Source organism: Homo sapiens, chromosome 18 (genome assembly GCF_000001405.40).
Source record: "Homo sapiens chromosome 18, GRCh38.p14 Primary Assembly".
In the NCBI taxonomy this organism is placed as follows: domain Eukaryota; kingdom Metazoa; phylum Chordata; class Mammalia; order Primates; family Hominidae; genus Homo; species Homo sapiens.
In genome coordinates, this window is record NC_000018.10 from 5,287,483 (window position 1) to 5,308,789 (window position 21,307).

General features: G+C 41.5%; 1 protein-coding gene across 10 annotated transcripts, besides 8 other annotated features; it reads right to left on the minus strand.

Moving 5' to 3' along the window:
* Nucleotides 1-1,539: 1,539 nt before the first annotated feature.
* Nucleotides 1,540-9,571, minus strand: ZBTB14 (zinc finger and BTB domain containing 14). 10 transcript variants are annotated; one of them, NM_001243704.2, is made up of 4 exons: nt 9,530-9,571; nt 6,490-6,519; nt 5,762-5,845; nt 1,540-4,722 (listed from the first exon to the last, which is right to left on the minus strand). In NM_001243704.2, exons 3-4 carry the CDS (start codon nt 5,762-5,764, stop codon nt 3,376-3,378), a joined length of 1,350 nt encoding a protein of 449 aa, NP_001230633.1. In that variant the 5' UTR covers nt 5,765-5,845; nt 6,490-6,519; nt 9,530-9,571; the 3' UTR covers nt 1,540-3,375. The 10 variants fall into 10 exon arrangements, with proteins under 10 accessions (NP_001230633.1, NP_001137295.1, NP_001230631.1 ...); NM_001143823.3 differs by lacking the exon at nt 9,530-9,571 and adding an exon at nt 8,331-8,538; NM_001243702.2 differs by lacking the exon at nt 9,530-9,571 and adding an exon at nt 8,170-8,244.
* Nucleotides 6,827-7,514: an enhancer, noted in NCBI's record as "H3K27ac hESC enhancer chr18:5294308-5294995 (GRCh37/hg19 assembly coordinates)". NCBI's record gives its function as "activates a minimal SCP1, AML or CMV promoter by ChIP-STARR-seq in primed H9 embryonic stem cells {active_cell/tissue: H9 hESC(primed)}" and the evidence as "EXISTENCE:reporter gene assay evidence [ECO:0000049][PMID:30033119]".
* Nucleotides 7,515-8,201: an enhancer, noted in NCBI's record as "H3K27ac hESC enhancer chr18:5294996-5295682 (GRCh37/hg19 assembly coordinates)". NCBI's record gives its function as "activates a minimal SCP1, AML or CMV promoter by ChIP-STARR-seq in primed H9 embryonic stem cells {active_cell/tissue: H9 hESC(primed)}" and the evidence as "EXISTENCE:reporter gene assay evidence [ECO:0000049][PMID:30033119]".
* Nucleotides 7,515-8,582: a biological region, named in NCBI's record as "H3K27ac hESC enhancer GRCh37_chr18:5294996-5295682".
* Nucleotides 7,643-8,582: a silencer, noted in NCBI's record as "silent region_9261". NCBI's record gives its function as "represses an Ori minimal core promoter by ATAC-STARR-seq in GM12878 lymphoblastoid cells {active_cell/tissue: GM12878}" and the evidence as "EXISTENCE:reporter gene assay evidence [ECO:0000049][PMID:35858748]".
* Nucleotides 8,663-9,082: a silencer, noted in NCBI's record as "silent region_9262". NCBI's record gives its function as "represses an Ori minimal core promoter by ATAC-STARR-seq in GM12878 lymphoblastoid cells {active_cell/tissue: GM12878}" and the evidence as "EXISTENCE:reporter gene assay evidence [ECO:0000049][PMID:35858748]".
* Nucleotides 8,663-9,575: a biological region, named in NCBI's record as "H3K27ac hESC enhancer GRCh37_chr18:5296371-5297056".
* Nucleotides 8,890-9,575: an enhancer, noted in NCBI's record as "H3K27ac hESC enhancer chr18:5296371-5297056 (GRCh37/hg19 assembly coordinates)". NCBI's record gives its function as "activates a minimal SCP1, AML or CMV promoter by ChIP-STARR-seq in primed H9 embryonic stem cells {active_cell/tissue: H9 hESC(primed)}" and the evidence as "EXISTENCE:reporter gene assay evidence [ECO:0000049][PMID:30033119]".
* Nucleotides 9,293-9,452: an enhancer, noted in NCBI's record as "active region_13055". NCBI's record gives its function as "activates an Ori minimal core promoter by ATAC-STARR-seq in GM12878 lymphoblastoid cells {active_cell/tissue: GM12878}" and the evidence as "EXISTENCE:reporter gene assay evidence [ECO:0000049][PMID:35858748]".

The window sequence follows — 21,307 nt, forward strand, 5'->3', positions numbered from 1 at the left end:
CTGAGAGGCAAAACCAGGATCCAAATCTAAGTTTGTCTTGTAAAGTCTTTCCACTAAACCTCACCTCCTCGTTATACTGAAAAGATTTAAATGAGTATTGGTAGGTGGGAACATCTTTTGAAGAGATCATGAAAACACCCAACTGCTAAAATCTGTCACAATCCAGATAAATTACACCCAGGGCCCCTAAGATGAGATCAGTATGGCAACCTTTAAGGAATCATGGATAACAGGTGATGGAAAAACATTTTCAAAAAGAACATGTAAGACCAGACTGGGAAGGGGCACACTCACTCTAACAGCCAGGGACCAAACTGCTTCTGCCTTTGCATCTCCAGGGTCCAGCCCAGTGCCTCGCATATGATGCTCAACACAAGTAGGCAACATGCTATCTTTACATACCTTAAGTAGATGCAGGATTAACCCTATTATAAATAGTTCCCAGGGGGAAAGAGCTCCAGTTACAAGAGGGTAAGCAAAAATGGAGACAGACTTCAAAGGGAGTGAGAGCTTTCCGTTCTCTTTGCTGTAACAGTTCTCTGCCTCCGCCTAGGACTCAACCCTGCACCACAATCCTTACTATGTGCCAGCTCTACTACAATTGCACCCTAAGGCTTGCTAATCCTGAGAACAAAACACCACTAATAGCATTACTATGTGACAATGAATCCCACCTTCCAAATGACTTACAGATAACTACACAAAATAACCCATTAAGTTGGAAACTACATAAATTTGCATCATTTTCCCTCATCTTGTCTTTTTTTTCCTAACAAAATAGGGTGAATTTGTTAGTGTCAACCTCACTTGATGGCGACCTCTGTATTTTCTAACAATTCTAAATTAGTGATCAAGTTAATGGCCGGCAAATTACTTTACATTTAAACTTCCTAAATTTCTCTTCCTCAATCAGTGCCAATACAATGCAAATTAAGCACAAAAGCTAACATCAAGTTTGTAGCATTCTCTGTAAAAACAGAAAAAAGTCAATGATTTGTAAGTAATGAAAAGGTAGTAATGTTGACACTTAGCCTTGACCTTCCTCTTACATTACAGATTCAGAGTAACCACATTTCAGAATTAACTCCCTAGGGTGTTGGAGGTAACTTGAAGACTCTAACACGATGGCTCCACTATGCAGAGGACTACCAAATCCAGCCAGGTGTAGAGAGGCAGTGTTACTGACCAGGACCCAGCAGACAGGAGAGCTGCCATGATAGGATTCTGCTGCCACCAAAAATATATAAAGGAAACAGGTGCCCTAACACACGTGTAAACCCAGTACCAGTGGCAGAAATAACACAAATACATTTCTCATGCAAAATAGGCTAAATGATAAATATTTGCATCACATAGACTGCTGAAAATTAACCTTTCTTTTTGGGGGTTACCACCATGACTATGTGGTTTCAAAGGAGGTTAATATCACATGTTTAACTTCAACTCTGTAAAGCCAGGATGAAGCTAGCATACAAAATACATTTTGGTAGAAATCTAGGTATGTGGAAGGTTGCTATGAAAAAATGAAAAGAGGAATGATAGAAGTATATTTTCTTTTATATACAAAAAATGAAGTCCCAAAATATGGTTTGTTGAAGTAGCTATTGACAAGATGTTAAAATTATTTTTCCTTTGCTTTGGTTAAAACAGCCTAGGAACGGCAATCAGTTCCCCTTCTATAAGTAGCATAAAAACACAGTGACAGGACTACTTTTAGAACAGAATAAACAACTTTCAAGAAAAGAAATTAATTTTAAGTAAAATTAAACATTTTACCAATAACTAAAATTTTTAAAAAGGTAGCATCTTCATCCTAACATCTTGGGCATAACACACACCAATTAAAAAATCAAATTTCTTTCACAATAGAATTACAGGTGTTAATGCAACAAGCTATGAAGTGAAATTACTTTAATTTTTTTAAAAGAAATCCTAGCAATGAAAAATGAGTTTGAAAAATTGACATTTTCTACAATTCTACATTTTGAAAAATAATTGACTAATACTTTTTTACAGAACACAATTCAAACTATTGTTGGCATTTCAATATATTCCTAAAGATGGTTAAAAGAACATTTAGTATACCAAAACTGGAATAGAGTTTATAATTCTCATTTACGGCTATGAAAAGGCAATCAACTTCTATTTAAAACTGTAACCAGTGATGAAATATATTTCGAAAACATAAACATTTGGTCTGACAATCTTTAATATTTGTTAAAAACAGTCTGATGTTTGTTGCTGATGGAAGTTATTTTAATCCAATGTGCAAAAAAAGTGCAGCTGTCTACTTTTTACTTGAAATACGTAAGACCAACACTACTATTTACACACTTAAAAGATTTTAAATTTATTAATTTAAGTAAGCATACTGCATCTCCTTTATGGATAAATCATGTGCCCCACAGAGCCCCAAAGCTTGATGACATTCTGTAAAGTTACACAAATGTATCTGAAGAAGTTATCTGTTCTTGTCCTAATTTTGATTCTAAATAAAAATCCAATTTCAAAATCAATTAAGATTTTAATCTAGGAAATCTTGGGATTGTTACACATGTAAAAAACCTTATCTCTGAGAGCCTTTTCTATTCTTCTTACCACAGGTCCACTCACAAATCGCAGCTGGTATGGACTGGTACTGCCCCAAATAAGAGGAACCTAAGAGCTTGGCTCCAAGACCCCCCACCATCCCGGTGGGTTTGCTTGGCCTTTAGGATGTGTGACTACAGCTTTTGGGTAGGTACAGGGCAATCAAGATTGAGGAAGAACACTTCAGCAAAGCAACCATTATTTGTCCACAAAAACAGTGAAAAACAGTGATATAAAATTAACAAACCAAATATAAATCTAACGCCATTCTGCATTTCCAGAACTTTTTTTATATTTGTGCAGTGTTCTTGGTCAACCACTCACCAATTTTCTGCGTCTATCTGAAGTACTTTTAAAGTTATTAAAACTGCTCTTTTGACCATAAGTCACATAGAATTGTGATTAGGAAATCAATTTACTTATTACTCTGTGCAGGGCACTTGCTAGGGTGGTGAGTGTAAAGGAACTAAAAATGGAAGTCTCTCACTTCTAAACTGGACACAGGAGTTCTCAAATTAAAATAATAAAAAAAAAAAAGGGAGAGAGGTGCTTACTGGGCAACATTAATACTAGACACCAGACAAGACAGTGAAACGGTTTGGTCAGAACTGAGGAACACCATTTCCTTGAAAAGTCTTAAAAATAGCTAACCAAGCACTGCCTTAAGTCCAGTGAGTACAATGTTCCATACGTTTCCACAAAAATATTGTAACTGGCATTCACTCATTATGATCCACGTCATCTCAGTCTCCACTTTCCAGGCAAAGTGTCCCTGTCCCACCGCCTCTAGCTACAGGCTATCGTCTCCAGCTGCTGTTCTGCTTCCGCAGCCATCGCTGCCGCCTGCAACTGTTCTGTCTCGCTCTGGATGGCACTGGGGGTAACCTGCTTCCTTTCACTGTGCATATTGTTCTCGTGCCTTTTCAGATCAGATGCCTTGGCAAATGCCTTGGTGCAGGAGCCACACACAAAAGGCTTTTCCCCTCTGTGTCTTCTTTCATGATCCTTGAGGTGAGACTTGTGTTTGAAGGCTTTGTCACACATGTGGCACGCAAACGGTCTTTCATTACTGTGAACTCTCTCATGCTTCTTTAAGTCTGGGGCACGGATAAATGATTTTCCACACACCTCACAGCTATAGGGCTTATATCCTGTGTGGATTTTTAGGTGTTCTTTCAGGTGGGCCTGTGTGGTGAAACCTTTTGTGCACATTTCACAAACAAATGGCCTGTCCGCCGTGTGGAGTTTCTCATGCTTCCTCAATCTGCCTTCATCAGAAAACGTCTTCCCACACGCCTGGCAGGCAATCTGCTCCCGATGGTGACCATAAAGCAAATACTCAAACTTCATGTCACTGGCGGCTGTTGTCCAGCCTGGTGTCTGTTCATCTTTCACTTCACTCATCCCATCATTAAATGTTAAGGCTTGAGGGGTCTGGGACCCCAAGTCTTTTGATTCTGGGGTCTCCATGGATTCTACTTCCTGGCCGTAGCAATTGACCTTCCGAACTTCCTCACTCCCCAGCTCTTTCAGGATCGCTTCCTGAACCCTGAGCGTTGTGGTGGGCGACTTGCCGTCCTCCTGACTCGGGGGTGTGCCTTCTACTGTGTCATCAGAAGGACTGTCATCCTGATCCCCGATTTCCTCTACATCATCATCCTGGGTGTCAGCAGCATCTCCAATGGGGCGATTTATTTTAAGGCAATACTTACTTTTGGACTGACCATTGTTTTCATCGGGACTGGACACATCACGCTTCTGAGAACACAGTTTATCCAAAAATCGGATACCAAGAATCTGACCCGATGACATCATTAAGTTAACATCTTCTTTTTTCACGGAAATCTTTGCTGTGTACATGTAGTTCAGGACCTCTTCAAATATATCAGAACGAAGAAAATCTATTTCTATGACCGAAGAACTATCAACCTCAAGCTTCTTGAAAAGCTTTTTAAAGTAAGTGCTGCAGGCAGCAAGAACACATCTGTGTGCTCTGAATTTCACATCCTCAACCACAATAGCAATATCACAAAATTCTCCTTCCAGGCGTTGTTCATTTAGTGTTTTCAGAAACAGAGTTTTATGATCATCGTCATTATATTTAATGGTTTCAGACATACTGATGAAAAACTCCTACAAAAAAAAAAAAAGTTTAGTAATTATAAATAGTACTTTTCCATATAGAGAACACAGTCACATTTTCATTTCCTGGTCAATCTATGGAACCTAACAATTTCAGAAAGTCAATGTTAAGAGTGGTCTTTGAATATGGGTAGAAAAGACTGATCCCAACTCAAGGATCTCCATATTGTTACTCCTGTTCATCTTCAATTTACTAAGTATTTGCCTAGTTATATCCCAGGCATTGTTCTATGTGCTTTACATGTTTTAATTAATTTAATATTCAGGTAACCTCATGAGTACGTATCACTATCCTTATTTTAGAGACAAAGTTAGAAATCTGCCCAATATTCTATAGCTATTTAGTGAAGAGCTGGGACTTAAATGCAGACAATCTGGCTGCAAAACCAGTGCTTCCTGACTAGAGATAATCAAATAACTCAAACTCAAGTTTTAAGAAACAGGTTCAAGGGAACAATCCTCTAGTCCTCTCTGTTGCACCTACTCTTATTCCATCTACTCTATGGAGGATTCAGCAAAATAATTATGTTATACCTCCTTGACAGAAGGAACAAATTACTATTGCAGAACTAGAGAGGAACATTACTGCCAAAATATCCCATTGAGTGTTGTGTTCTAGATTTTCCACAGCACTTTTGGGCCACTTCTAAATGAAGGTCAAGGTTTAATCTGACCTTAAGAGAATGAGATGACATTTGGGAAGTGGCTTTGTTCTCTCTAGATGCCAATCTACCTGCATCCAGATAAAAGTGCCATCAACACCAGATGTAAGTACTTGATAAGTGCTGAGAGTATTTTATAAGCAAAAATTTGGAACTGGCATGAAAGATCTCTGTCATCATGTTAAAAAACTGGTCATCTTAAAGCATTCTCTATGTTTCCTTTTTAAAAACATTGTTTTACTTTTATTCGGCTAATATTTTCCCCCAGACAAATAGAAGTGTTCATGCACAATCAGAATTGGTATATATATTTTAAAGCAAATGCCAAGTCATTTTCATCAAGATTTAATATCCAAAGTTATAGTTACCATGAACAACTCAGGCTATTATCTTAATGCCTTGAACGCCAAAATCTTCAGATCAGAGTAACTCTGATCAGGAGCACGCCAGACCTACAGAGGAAAGGATAAACAAGAATGAGGTAGGATCTTCCTGTATCCCAAATCCTAAACCAAGAATTGATTTTTTAAAAATAAACTTTCTTGTTCCCTCTTTTGTGCATTTTCAGGTTGGGGAGAGTGGCAGGTAGGTAGCTGGTACATCAAGTGCAGTTCTGAACAGATATGGACTAGAACAGATAAGGGCTGTAGCACTCGGGCATAAAGGGGCTGTGCCCTAGGAACTGGAAGGAGGGGTTGGAGAACCATTAAGGGATTTCTCCTCACACACTAAGCTCATGTCCATATTTGTACAGAGATTGATGGCTACACAGATATAGAAAAAAACAAGTGCACCGTGCCCCCTACACCTATCCCATTTCCCGCTGGGTATGTTAGCCCTCTACATTTTTCTCTCGGCTCATACAAACCTATAGAAGTATATACCTTACAAATAAAGCTATAGAAGTACATAAACCCAACAGGTAACATGGGAGGAGAGGGAACAATGATTGCTTTTTCTTTCTGCACCTGTGTGATGTATTAATAGCATACACGTTTGTTTTTAAGATTGTATTTGATAAATCCAGGTGTTTTTACCTCTATCCCTACAATAAGGGTGAAAGAATTTCAGCTTTTTTGTGAGTTTTAACTCTTACCGGAAGAACTCCATCCTGCAGACCCATATCCTGAAAAACAAAAAGTTTCCTCTACTGAACAGTGACCACACAGATAAGTTGTTTGGTGTGGTAGGAGCAAAGGACTGGGCTGTAACAGTCTTACACAAAAACCATGGAACAAGACTCCAACCTGGAGACCAACACCTTGAAACCCATAATAAGCTCCTTCTAAAGAAAAGTGAACACACCGAGCTACCCAGCGTAGAAGCGGGATGTCTCATCTGAAGTTTGAGGTTAGGCAACATTTCCAAAAGATGATTCTGACTTGATCATTCTACGTGTTTCTGCCTCTCTATTCCCTAGAAGCACCCAGGCCTGTAATCATCCAGAGGCTAGGCAGCCCAGCAAAAACCTTACACTGTGACACTTACTACTGTTGTCACTAACTCGTCCTAGGGCTTGTGGGATAAAAGTGCATGGGACCAGAGAGAGGAGTGGCCTTAGACTAGCTATGACAACATATCAATGTGTTGTTGTTGTTTTGGCTAGTGTGTACTTGGCCACTCGCCCCTCTCCCCTCTCTCTCTCAAGATGTATGAGACCTGGAAGAGAGACCATGTGTGTCCAAAGCCGCCTCCTCCCCGCCCCGCCCCCCTTGCCATTGAGATGTCCAATTGCTCAGTTCAGGTGAGTCAAAACTGGAAGACAGCTGTTGCCAGCATCTGTGTAGGCAGGTGTAGGAAAAGACGTAGCCCCAACACCACCTTCATAATAAGGCTGCCCCTTCCTAATTGCTCTCCAAACTGCGGGCGCGCTAAGCCGCGTTACAGTGCAGGGAGCCGGGCTTCCCGCAAAGCCAAAAACTTACATAAGCAGCTGCAGCCGCCTCCCCTGCCCCGGGCAGCCCGACAATGGCGGCTGCACGACTTCCTTGTTGCAAGCTTGCAACTTCGGAGTCGGGAGGAAGCAGGGAGCCAAGCGCAGACCCAAGAAGCCCTCAAGGCGTATCGAGTCCTCCCTCTCAATTTCTTTGGGCCTGGGAGGTGGGGAGTGGAGGAGGCCGTTTGCACTCCTTCCCAGACAAAAGCTCCCAGCCTGGGAGCCAGGTGGTGAAAGGGCCACTTTCCCTTTCATAATCAGACGTCGAGCGCAGGCTTGGGACCGCGGCTCGGAGCGCGCAGGGAGGGACTGCGGCCCGCGGCGGCCCCGGCGGCGCGACGAGCGGGAGCGGGCGTGCGGCCGGCTCCGCAGCCCCGCGCCGCGCCGCGCCCCGCTCCGCCCGCGAGCCCGGAGCTCGCGCCCCGCGCACTCCCCGGCCAGCTCGCGCCGGGCCCTCCCCCGCCCTCCCGCGGCCGGGGGCGGGGGCGGCGCGCGGCCGGCTAACCCAAGCTCCGCGGGCGCACCCGGGAGTGCGTGCGCTGGGTCCCGGCCCCCTCCTCCGCCGGCGGCTGTAGGCGGCGCGGCGGGGCCCGCGGCTCGGAGGGGCGGCGCCCGGCGGGCCGCGCTCCGCGCTGGGTTCGGGCCGTCCCCACCCCCACCGCGGTGCACTGCGGCGGTGCGAGCGGGGGCGGCCATGAACTCGGCCGCCGAGGCTCTGCGAGCGCGCGCGCGGGGCCGCCGCCGCCTGGCCGCTCCCCGAGCCCGCTCGCCGGCCCGCGCGGCCCCCGGGGCGCCCCGGCCCCACGCCCAACCCTGGCCCACGCCCGTCCCCGCTCGCACCGCGCCGCGCCGCTGGCGGCCGCCGCACATCCTGGAGCTGGCTGGTGCCCCAGAGCTCGGCGAGAACGCGCGTCTTCCGGGCCGCCCCGCCAGCCGCCGGCCGCCCCCGCGCCCGCCTTGCGGACGGCCCCAGCCCCTTCCGCACCCTGGCCCGCGCTTACCTGCAGCCTGGCACAGGCACAGACACTGCCGTGGGTTCCCCGCGCTCGCTAGCAAACGCAGGCCGGGACCGGAGGGGCTCGGGGCGCGGGGGCACGGTGGGTGGCAGTGTGTTTTGGATTTTTTTTTGGAGTTTGGGGAGGGGGCGGGGTGGGGGAAATCGTGCACGTCCCTGATGGTAGCAGCCCTCCTCCTGCACGAGCACAGAATGTCTAGCCGGCCGTGAACACCCCCACCGCCCCCCCCTTCCCGTGCATGCGCGGTGCGGGCTGGGGGGAAGGCGCGCCGCCGGCTTGCGCAGGCACGGAACCCGACCGGGTCTCTAAGTGGGCGAGCAAAGAAAGGGTTAATCCGGGCCCTTGCCGACGCTTTCGTTGGAGACTACGGGGCCGCCCCCGGAGGGCCCTGGCCTGCGCACGCGCGCGCACGCGCGCGGCTTGGGGCGCGCGGAGCCCGCGCGCGGGAGAAGGAGTGGGCGGGGCAAGGGCGGGGCTTCGGGAGCCAGGGAACTTAAGCACGAGCGCTGCTCGCGGACACCCGCCCCGCCTCAAGCTCCCTCCCGCCCTGGTTCGTGGGCTTCCGCCCGCGCCCGGCGCCGGCGCAGCGCCGGGGACGCGGGAGCCAGCGCTCCCGTGCGTGTGCATGTGCGTGGGCCAGAGCCTCCCCCGGGCGCGCGCAGGCCGGGCGCTGAGGCTGCGGGGCTCTGCCGCGTCTCGGAGCGGGCGCCCCGGCCACTTTCGCCCTCCGCGCACACCGGCCGACACCGGGAGGCGCGCCCACGGGTCTGCGGTCTTGCCTCTTGCCGCCGGCACATTGAGTTTGTGGGGGAGTGGACGGTGCACAATAAACACTTGCAGAACAAATGGAAAAAGCGACGTCTTCGATTTGTAGTGTAAAGCGCAACCCCAGTTGCCCAGCAGAAAGGGATCACCCATAGGGCTTCGGAGCTAGTAGGTCCGCGCCCGGACACTCCAAGGAAAAGTCCAGGGGCTGGAGGCGGCGACCCGTCTGTGGCAGTCCAGACCCTGGACTCGATTCGGAGAGCTCTGATAACTTGGCTCTGTCCTTAACATCCCTGCTCAGCGCCAGTAATGGCTCCGTTGCTGTTGAACCACGTCGCCTTCCCTCTGACGCGGCGGCTGTGCCTGTGTCTGGCGTCGGGAGCTGGGAAGTCCCTCCCGCTCCCGCGTTTTCTGCTCACCGAGATGCAGGAGGCCGGACAGCAATGCCGCGCCGCCTTAGAGTCGCTCATGTTGCTTTACCTCACACGCGAAGTTTCCCCGAAACGCGTAATTTAATATCTAAAGATTAGAGCAGAAGCTTCCTCTTGGGCTTATTGAAGATGACATAAGATAGTGCTTGCAACAGGCACCTAAGTAAACATTTGGGAAATAATATGATGATTGGATGTGTTAATTTTCTAAAGGAAGTTCTATATGGCCTCAGTTGATTTTGTAATGTTAATTGACTTTGGTTTAACGTTCCCCAAGGCGACTTTATACGCATCTTTTTTGATGTTCACAAAAGCACCCAAGTTACGGCTTATATGGAGGAAATAGGATGGAAGAGACCGGTTGTAGAGTCAGACATATCCAGTTCACATATTGGGTAAATTGTTTAACTTCTCTAAACCTCAGCTGAAGGAGAGCTATGGAAAGCACCTAATAAGGCACTTGTAAGGATTAAGTGAAATAATGCCCAGCTAAGGTATTAGCTCCATGATGGAAAATCACCTGCACCCACAGATAGTGGGTTCCAGTGGCCTGGACAGAACCAGAACCAAGTCTTCTGCCACGAAAGTTCACACTCATCAGACATGATACCGTGTACTCGCTTTATTCTTGTTTGCGTAGCTCTTGAAGTTGCATTTCAATCCTGTGGATGCTGTGTGTTTATAGGGGGATAATAATAGTACTCTGTCATAGGGTTGCGTCACCAAGCAGTAAAGCAGCCACTGCAGTTAGCACAATGTGTGGACACGGCCAGTACTCAAGTCATGGCGCATCTGCTGCTGGCGCTCCCCCTTCTCCCATACCACATATGGGGTTTCCCACTCATTCTGCGTGTATTTTTGGTCTGCCTACTGTGTAAAGACAATCTTTTCGCATATGGCTAGGAAAAGACTTCCCACGTTTCCACTAACCCGATAACATAATTCACAAGAGTTCTAAAGCACTAGAATGCATTTCTCAAGTGACGGTTCCTGACATCCTGGTTTTGTATCAATGAATCCTCTTGTCTCATTTGTTTTATGTTCATGTCACCTGGGCTCTGCCTGGCTGTCCCTTGCTGGTTCACAGGGGTTGTGGGGATGAGTCTAAATTAAAGGGACAACTCTGTGGGAAGGTGGAGGGATGGGAAACCACAAAGGAAAGGCCTGACCCAAGCCTGGCTTCTCGCCTGTGTCGCCACCCAAAAGTGCACTTCCCAGCACCCAAGAGGCTTTCAATAAACATCAGCGGACAGTAAGTGACAACCTTGAATTTGATACTAAGGGGCTTTGTAAAAGTACACTGTGGCGTCAACGCGGGGGCAGGGCTTTCCTGAAATGCACTGACCCAAGGTCCTTGACAAAGTTTTCCTCCTTTTCCGACAACTCTGATGGGTGACATTTGGAGCACGTTGTTCCTCACTTGGGACACCCATGGCCTCCTGAGTGGAACCTGTTTCTAAGAATTGTGAGGCCCAGGCCATGGGGCCCGCAGTGTGCAGTCCCGGGTGCCAGGGTCTGATGTGGTTACAGAGCAGCCCAGTAAGGGACCGTTTGGAAACATTATGTCTCACAGGCGGGGGAGGTTGATTTCTCCCTCATGTTGACCTTGGGCCCTCTGGCTGGTTTTGAAACAGCAGGATACCAGCAGATGAGAGTGGGCCGGGTCTGAGTAGAGGTTTTGAGAGCAGCCTTTGTTCTGCGCCTCCTCCTCTGCTGTGACGTCCAGCACAACACGACCATGGTTAGGCCACAACCCCCTCTTCAGCTTGGGCCCTTGAATGACAAACAGACCTGAGAATGAAGCCAACCCAAAACCTGAGCACAGCCAAGCCTAGAGAGAAGACAACTCACCCACAGACCTATGACTGAGAAGTAAATGTTTGTTTTATAAGCCACTGGGAGGTTGGGTTTTATGCTTTGTTACTGAACAAAATCTAATACATCTGTGCAAGGAAAAGTGTCACACCCAATGCCATAACCACCTTCCCCCTGTGACTCTGAGAACACTTGATACAGCAAATGAACAAAAACCCGATCCAATCCGTGTCATCATGGAGATACTGATGTGCACATTCAACAAATAATCACATCGTTACACAATTGCACATTGCAATAAGTGTTTTTATAGAAAGTTAAAAAACACAGAATGTGATGAAAAAGAGGAACAGGAGGAATTAATTTTGCCTGGGAAATCAGTGAAAGCTTCTTCAAAGGCATACATTTAAGACCTGAAAGATGAGGGAGAGATTCGCAAAGAGGGGGAAGAAATAGCATTTCAAGACAGAGACAGGAACAAAGTGAATGCAAGGGTGGAAGGAGCTTGAAGTACCTCAGTCTCTGCAAAAGTGGACATGAGATGTGTTTGTGAGAACAACAGTGTCCAGCACCTGTAGGGCCTTGTGGTTTATAGGAAGGGGTCTTCACAATGACAGCCCCGAAAGCTTGGGCCATTTAGGTGGAGGGGTTGAATCAAAGGAAGGTCCTGAACATCTGCCAGGGCAAGGAACATCAGGACAAGCTTGTCTTGTGCTTGTGGAGGAATTGCTGCATGAGGATGGAGTTGGCCATGTGGAACGATCATTCTCCTATGGATCAGAACTGGTGGGGCATCTGGTCGTCTCTGGGCACCAGACACTTGTTTCTTCTTCCTCTGGAACCTGGTCATTTAGATTTCCTCATTGCCTTTTGGGTTAACATCGAGGAAACTGGGTGAAGAGTTTCTGGAAACACTCTGTGTTATCTTGACAACTCTTCCATAAATCCAATATTATTGTAAAACGAAAATTATTCCTGTTCATGTAATTATTTTTTCCTAGATACTTTCAAGATTTTTTTCTTTGTCTTTAGTTTTCAGCATTTTGATTATGGTGTTTTCTGAGTAGGGATTTCATTGCTTATACTGTTTGGGGATTGCCGAGCTTCTTAAATACATAGGTTTATTTATATCTTTCTCTAAATTTGGGAAGCTTTCAGCTATTATTTTTTTCACATTTTTTTTCAACAGCATACTATTTCTCCTTTGTTGAGATTCCAATGACAGGAACGTTGAGTTTTTTAAAAATTATGTCATAGGACCATAAGTCTTTTCATTTTTTAAAATATTTTCTCTGTGTTGTTCAGATGAAATAGTCTCTATTGATTCTCTACAATTCACTGACTTGTTCTTTTGTCGTTTCCACCCTGCCATTTAGCCTGTCCAGTGAGTTTTTTTGTTTCACTTGTATTTTTCAGTTTTAAATTTTTTCATTGTATTTTTCTTTATATCTTCTATTTCTTTGCTAAGACTTCCTATTTTTCGATTTAAGAGTGTTCATAATTGCTTGTTGGAGAATTTATAATAGTTGCCTCTAAGTCTTTTTACTTAATTCCAACATCATTGTCATCTCAATGTTGCCATCTGTTGATTGTTTTTTCATACGTGAGTTGAGATTTCCTGGGTCTTTGTATGCTGAATTATTTTGGATTGCATCTTGAACATTTTAAATATTATGTTATAATACCCTGGGTCTTGTTTAAATCCTGTGGCAAATGTTGATATTTTAATTTTAATAGACAATCGGGTTACGTTCTGGTGACCAGTTTTAACACACTTTCTGTGTGCTGTGGTTTGATGGTTTCGGACTGCTACTTGGATCTGTTTCATATGCTCCAGGCATTGGCCAGTCTAGGATCTGATGATCTGTTAGTTCAATTCTCAAAGTCTTTTATGTGCTGACTAGGCTCAGACCCAGCATGTGCAGCTCAAGGGGGAGCTTAGAGGTTCATAAACAACTTTAGGGGCTCACTTTCCTGGGCTCATTCCTCTTCTGATTTCCCTGGTACTTTCTACCTTCCTGGAACTCCCTTTTCTGATCCTACATCCAGAAAGTTGGGGCACTTCCATGGCTACACTCTAATCTACAGCCAAGTGGCAGAAGAACGAGAAGGAAAAAAAATGGTAAATTCCCTGCTGGCTTGGTGATAAGCTTTCTTGTTTCCTGACATGTTGATTTTAAAGAGCTGTAAATTTCCTTCTAAGGACTGCTTTCTCCTTTTCAACGTATTTTTTTCATGTTATTTTATTTATATTCAGTTCTATGTATTTCTTTGGTTTCTTCATTACTTTTTAAATTCATGTTATTTAATAATGCTACTAACCCAAAATATTCCAATGTAATGTATGATTTTATGATATTGTTTCCAATTACATGGGAATATTTTTGAGTTATCTTTTTTTGGTAACTTCTTATTTTGGTATAATGCTAACTTACAGAAAATTTGCATGAATATAGTAAAAAAGAAGTCCTGTGTGCATTTTACTTTTATCCAGATTTACCAGTTGTAACATTTTGCCTTCATTTGCTTAATCATTTGTGCTCACACGTGCACACTGTCTCCAGACACACACACACACAGGCACACACACTCTCACACACTGAGCCATCGTTTAAGAGTAAGGTACAAATATCCTTCTTTCACCTAAATACCTCAGTGTGTATTTCCTAGAATAGGACACTCTTACATGACTATAATACAATAGTCAAAATTAAGTATTTAACATCGATACGATACTATTATCTAATGTGTTTATATTTAAATTTTACCAATTGTTTCAATAATGTGTATTGTAATGTATATCAATTTTTTCCTGCTGCAAAATTACTCATGGATCTGCCCTTTGTTTTTTATTTGTAAACCTGTTTCATATTCTTCAAAACCAACACTGCTCTTTTTTCATATTCTGTGATTTGTCTTCTGGTAAAACACCTGTATCAGAGTGTTTGCATCATTTTAAGTTTAGTACATCAAGGGAAAGACTTCCTCTCTTCCTTGCTGTAGCTTTCTCCATTACCAAGAATACCATTATATTATTATAGTCCTCGTTCCTAAAAACTCAGGATAACTTTGATTACCTTTTTTTCTTCTCTCAGTTACAAAGCTCAGCTACTTCACTTACAGCAGAGTAGAGCACTCAGCTACACTTGAGAGTTTTCTTCTTTTCTGGAGGACCAACGTTAAGGTTTGACTTTTGTCCTTGAGCAAAGAATATTTCATCTGCTAGAGTGAAACATGTATTCTTATATTAATATTCAAAATATTTTATTCTCTTTGAACCAGCATGTTATTGAAGCTGAAATTAGTTTCCTCTGGGCATTTTTTTAAAAAATGTGAACACTTTCAAAGTATGGAACATCTCTTCATCCATCATATGGGCTGATACCTGTCAATTACTCTTCTACTCTGGGAAGGTATCCAGACCTATGACACTCCAGGATGTCTGAACCATTGCACTCTATAGGAGTGATGCTTTTCTAACTTGCAGCTGGCATTCAAATTAAATCTGTTCTTAATGCTTCATAGAAATATCTACCAAATTCTACTTACATCAAATTATTTTCTCTGTGACCCAAACTGTTTATAATCATTTTTTTGCTACTTTTTTCAAAACTGGTCTTCTATCATCATAACATTTTCCGCCTGTAATTGGCAAACTGTGTTACATTATTTCTGGTGTTTAGTAAACTGTTTACTGTAATGCGCCTATTGCATATAGAATGAACTCATCAGTGTGGTTTAGAATTTAACATTTTATTTCATCAAAATTATCATCACACTGCCAAGAATTATTAAAACTCGAAAAAAAACCTGCAATGCATTTAGCCATAGTTATGGTGAGCTAAAATTACAGTTTCCCATTTTGGACAATCAAAAAGCTACATTGTTTCCTCAACCATAAAGACTTCATTCTCAGCATTAGTCAGTGAAAAACCAAAATGAAAATTTCTCCAATCGGCATCTGTTCTGATAGGTTTGTGCAAAGCGCATGTCACTTCTCTGTACCACTGCTGCCACCCCTGCCACCCCGCCACCCATACTTAGTCTTTGCTCTTCCTTGAGCAGAGTGGGCATGTTTCCTCCTCAGGACCTTGTGTACCTCTGCAATATTCAGGTTACAATGTTAAAATATATTTCAGATTCTCATTGTCTAACTAAAAATCCTAGTAGCTGGACAAATAGCTATTGAAACAGCTCAAGCCCATAATGTAATATTCTTTAGCTTCTTATCTACTACCTCAAATTTCAGCCTTCCTTTACAAAGTTAGGAGACAAGTCCTCCACTTAATTCACAGAGGAAAAGCAAAGCAGTGCAGACCCCTGAGTACAAATTGCCCAGCGTCTGGGTACTGATTTGGGTCCAACCAATACCACTTACAAGCCAATGTTTCTTGGAGAGGTTACTTCATGGTTCAAAATTTAGTTTCCTTATGTGTACAATCAGAATAAAGATAGTACCTACTTCATGAGGTTAATTGATTAATTCAATACATAGTTATGAGTACAATAAGTCCTCACTTAAGATTGTGAAGATTCTTGGAAACTGCAACTTTAAGCAAAATGACCCATAGAGAAACCAATTCTTTTTTTTTCCCATCAATGCTATAATGAAACACCATTGAACTGAATGATCTTATTGGAGGGCATGCTGTATGTCACTTCCTATCTGTTTTGTGCCAGCCATTCTAGGCACTGAGGATATAGCAGTGAACAAAATACACAAATGTATCTGCCTCAGAGGCAGGCTACAAACAAGTACCTAGTTGAAATATATATTACATTACCTGGTGATAAATGCTATAAAAAACTAATGTGGTGGAGGGAAATAGGAAGACTGGAAATGCAGGCAAGCAATTTTAAATAAAGCTGTTTGGAAAACCTCACTGAGAAGGAAATAGTTAAGCAAAAACCTGAAAGAGGTGAAGGAGGTCAGTCAGGTGCAGATAATGATGAAGAGCCTTCCAGGAAGACAGAAACAACAAGTGCAAAGGTCCTGAGGTGAAAGCATGCCTTTTGTCTTGAACAAACAGCAAAAGCAGAGCTAGAAAAAAAGAGTACCATGGAAACACATGTGCCCACCCTCACCCTGCACCCATCTATGCAGGACAGATGACAGTGTGAGAGTTTTTGTTTCTGTTTTCTACTGAGATGTTATGTTTATGTTTATTGAACAGAAAAATACGTAACACATGCTGATATAACAATAATTTTACATATTTCTTGGCAAATTCTAGCATGGTTTAAGAGAGAGAGGTCAAGGAACTAAAATCTTCCAAGAATGAGGTAGAGTGACAGTGGCAGGGAAGGGGTGGTAAATTGTGTAGTCTGATAATCTGAGAGTCATAGCTAGGGACTTTGACAGAGAAGGGAGGGGGAAAGGCTTGAAAGGGAAGGAGGGTGTCCTGCTCTACTCCAAAGAGGAGCACCAGTAGGGTTCCAGGGAGAACAATTCAGACTCAAATTATTAAATTCTGGAACACCTAAGAAGGTGATACTTTGTTCTGCAGGATGGACTGATGTGAAAGGGATAAGGACATCTCCACTAAATTATTTATTCCATTCAAGGTATCTTTATGCAAACCTCCAACTTTCCATGGTCAGTCCAAAGTCCTGTCTAGAGATTAGCTGGCATCCTTTACCTTCCCTGTCTTGCAAATATGACCAGAGATGAGGTCAACTTGGATAAGTTGAAGGTTCGTTTTCTTCTCACAATTTGTTTCAGAATCAATCAAATTTATCTGCATAACTAACCTTCACATTGGATCTAAATTCCAGTTTTTCTTTGTGATGAACAGGCCAAGCATGAATTTAAGCAAGTTAATTTATTAGCTGCTACTATATTCAAACTGCAGCATAATAAAACTAATGGATGACCCTAAATATTACATGACTATCTTTACGCTTGGGGAACAAGCTAATATATTTTCCCATACATCTCTTATGTGATATTAATAAAAGTTATGGCTTTAATCTCCACAGTTAAAAAAAGAAACAATTCAATGAGAGTCCTAAGAAATTTATAAAGACATATAGATCTTTTCAGAGCTAATATTTAAACCACTTAAGTAAATGGAAAAGGAAATGATCAGACAAAATATGTCATTGGCTTCTCATTCTTTGCCTTCAATTTCAGAACGAAACAGCTTATCTTTCTAAACTGATCTTTTCGGAAAAGTCTATACTATATTTAATATGAAAAAGATATTTGCAAAATTTCATTCTACCATTTGCAAAATTGTATTTAGAATAATTAAAATGAACACTCATGGGGAAAGATGCAAGCAAACAATTTTTTTTTTCAAGACAGAGTCTTGCTCTATTGTCCAGGCTGGAGTGCAGTGCAACAATCTCAGCTCACTGCAACCTCCACATCCTGGGGTTTAAGCAATTCTCTCTGCCTCAGCCTCCCGAGTAGCTGGGATTACAGGCACCTGCCACCACATCTGGCTAATTTTTGTATTTTTAGTACAGACGGAGTTTCACCATGTTGGCCAGGCTGGCTTGAACTCCTGACCTCAGGTGATCCACCCGCCTTGGCCTCCCAAAGTGCTGGGATTACAGGCATGAGCCATTGCGCCAGGCCTACAAATTCTTAATAATAGTGGAACATTTAAGTATGCTTACGTTAAATTTCCCATCCAAGGGAGTTACATATTTACTAATATATTTGTTTGACCTCTGAAACAGTCCATATACTCTAGGCCAGCACTAGAGCAATGTTTCACCAAAAAAGTAATTATTTTTCATTAGAAGTGTCTAGTTACTTTTTTTTTTGAGACAGGGTCTTGCTGTGTTGCCCAGGCTGTTCTTGAGCTCCTGGGCTCAACTGATCCTCCTGCCTTGGCCTCCCAAAAGAAGTGTCTATCTATTTTTAAATAAACTTTTTACTTTGCACTAATTTTAGATTTATAGGAAAGTTACACAGAGAGTACAGAGTGCTCCCATATGCCCCTCTAGCTCATTCTTCCCATTGTTAACACTTTACAAGACAGTGGTATGCTTGTCCACATTTAAAAAGCTGATATTGGTGCATTACTACTAACTGAACTTAAGACATGCTTGTATTTCCTCAGTTTTTCCATTAATGTTCTCTTTCTGGTCCAGGACACAATCCAAAGTCCCACATTGCATTTCTTTGTCATGCCTCCCAAGTCCCATATGGTCTGTGACAGTTCTTCAGTCTTTTCTTGTTTTTCATGACCTTGGCAGTCTTGAGAAGTACCAGCTGGGCATCCTGTAGAATATTCCCCCAGTCTAGGTTCACCTGATATTCTTCTCACGATTAGACTGGGGTTATGAGATTTTAGAAAAAATAGCACAAGGTGAAGTACCCTTCTTGTCACATCATTGAACTAGTTTTAAATCGCCATATTTTGATTAGGTAAGCTTTAAGATCCTTTCCAGTTCTAAAATGTTATGATCATATATTGTATACAGCCCATTATACATACATATATATACATATATATATACATATAGATAGATAGATAGATAGATAGATAGATATAGATATAGACAGAGTCTTGCTCTGCCACCAGGCTGGAGTGCAGTGGCACGATGTCGGCTCACTATAACTTCTGCCTCTCAGGTTCAAGCAATCCTCCTGCCTCAGCCTCTCGAGTAGCTAGGACTACAGGTGCGTGCCACCATGCCCAGCTATTTTTTGTGTGTTTTTAGTAGAGACAGGGTTTCACTGTGTTGGCCAGTATGGTCTCGATCTCCTGACCTCATGATCCACCCGCCTCGGCCTCCCAAAGTGTTGGGATAACAGTTGTGAGCCACCCACCACGCCTAGCCCCATTATATTTTATATAGCAAATATATATATATATAAGCCATATATATATGGAATATATATATCTGGATATACATTAGCCATATGTATATGGAATATATATATTATATGACATGTATATAACATGTATATATATGTATATACATATTATATATGTATATACATATATAATTAAAGCTCAGCATATATACATATATGTATACATATATGTGTATGTACATATATGTATACATATATGTATATGTACATATATGTATACATATATGTGTATGTACATATATGTATACATATATGTGTATGTACATATATGTACATATGTGTATACATATATGTGTATGTACATATACGTATACATATATGTGTATGTACATATACGTATACATATATGTGTATGTACATATACGTATACATATATGTGTATGTACATATACGTATACATATATGTGTATGTACATATACGTATACATATATGTGTATGTACATATACGTATACATATATGTGTATGTACATATACGTATACATATATGTGTATGTACATATACGTATACATATATGTGTATGTACATATACGTATACATATATGTGTATGTACATATACGTATACATATATGTGTATGTACATATACGTATACATATATGTGTATGTACATATACGTATACATATATGTGTATGTACATATACGTATACATATATGTGTATGTACATATACACATACATATACGTACATATACGTACATATATACATATGCATATACGTACATATATGTACATATATACATATGCATATACATACATATATGCACGTATATACGTATACATACATATATGCACGTATATACATATACATACATATATGCACGTATATACATATACATATATGTACATTTATACATATGCATACATACATGTACATATATACATATACACATACATATATGTATACATGCATACATATGTGTATACATACATACATATATGCATGTATACATGCATACACATGTATGTACGCATACATACAATATGTATACATATATATGTATGCATACATATGTATGTACACGTACATATGTATGTACACGTACATATGTATGTACGTGTACATATGTATGTACGTGTACATATGTATGTACACGTACATACATATGTGTGTAAGCATACATGTGTGTAAGCATACATATGTATGTACGTATACATATGTATGTACGCATACATACATATGTATGTATACATACACGTATACATACATATGTATGTACGTATACATACATATACATGTATATATACACATGTATGTATACATATATATACATTTATATGTACATACATACATGCATATGTACAGACATGCGTGCATATATACATCCATATGTACATGCATATACATATACATGCATATATATAAATACATATATATGTGCATGCATATATATGTACATACATATACCTGTACATGCATATATATACCTATACATATATGTATATATACCTATACATACATATATGTACTTACATATATGTATATATACGTATACATACATATATACATATATGTATATATACGTATACTTACATATATACATATATGTATATATACGTATATATGTATATGTATACATATATACATATATATGTATATGTATACATATATACATATATATGTATATGTATACATACATATATACATGTATAACATGTATATAATATATAACATGTATATATTATATATATGGAATATATATAATATATAACATGTAGCTATTTTTATATATATATTCCATATATATACCATATATATACACACCATATATACCATATATATACACACCATATATATACCATATATATATACATGCACCATATATATACACACACCATATATATGTGTGTGTATATATATATACACACATATATATGTGTATATATATATACACACACATATATATGTGTATATATATACACACACATATATATGTGTATATATATATACACACACATATATATGTGTATATATATATACACACATATATATATATAGTATATATATATATACACACACATATATATATATATTCCAGTTTTGTAAATTTTTGCCTGTCTGTAGCCCAGGGTCCCCAGGTTTTTGGGTGCACACTGTGAAAAAGTACCAACTTAAAA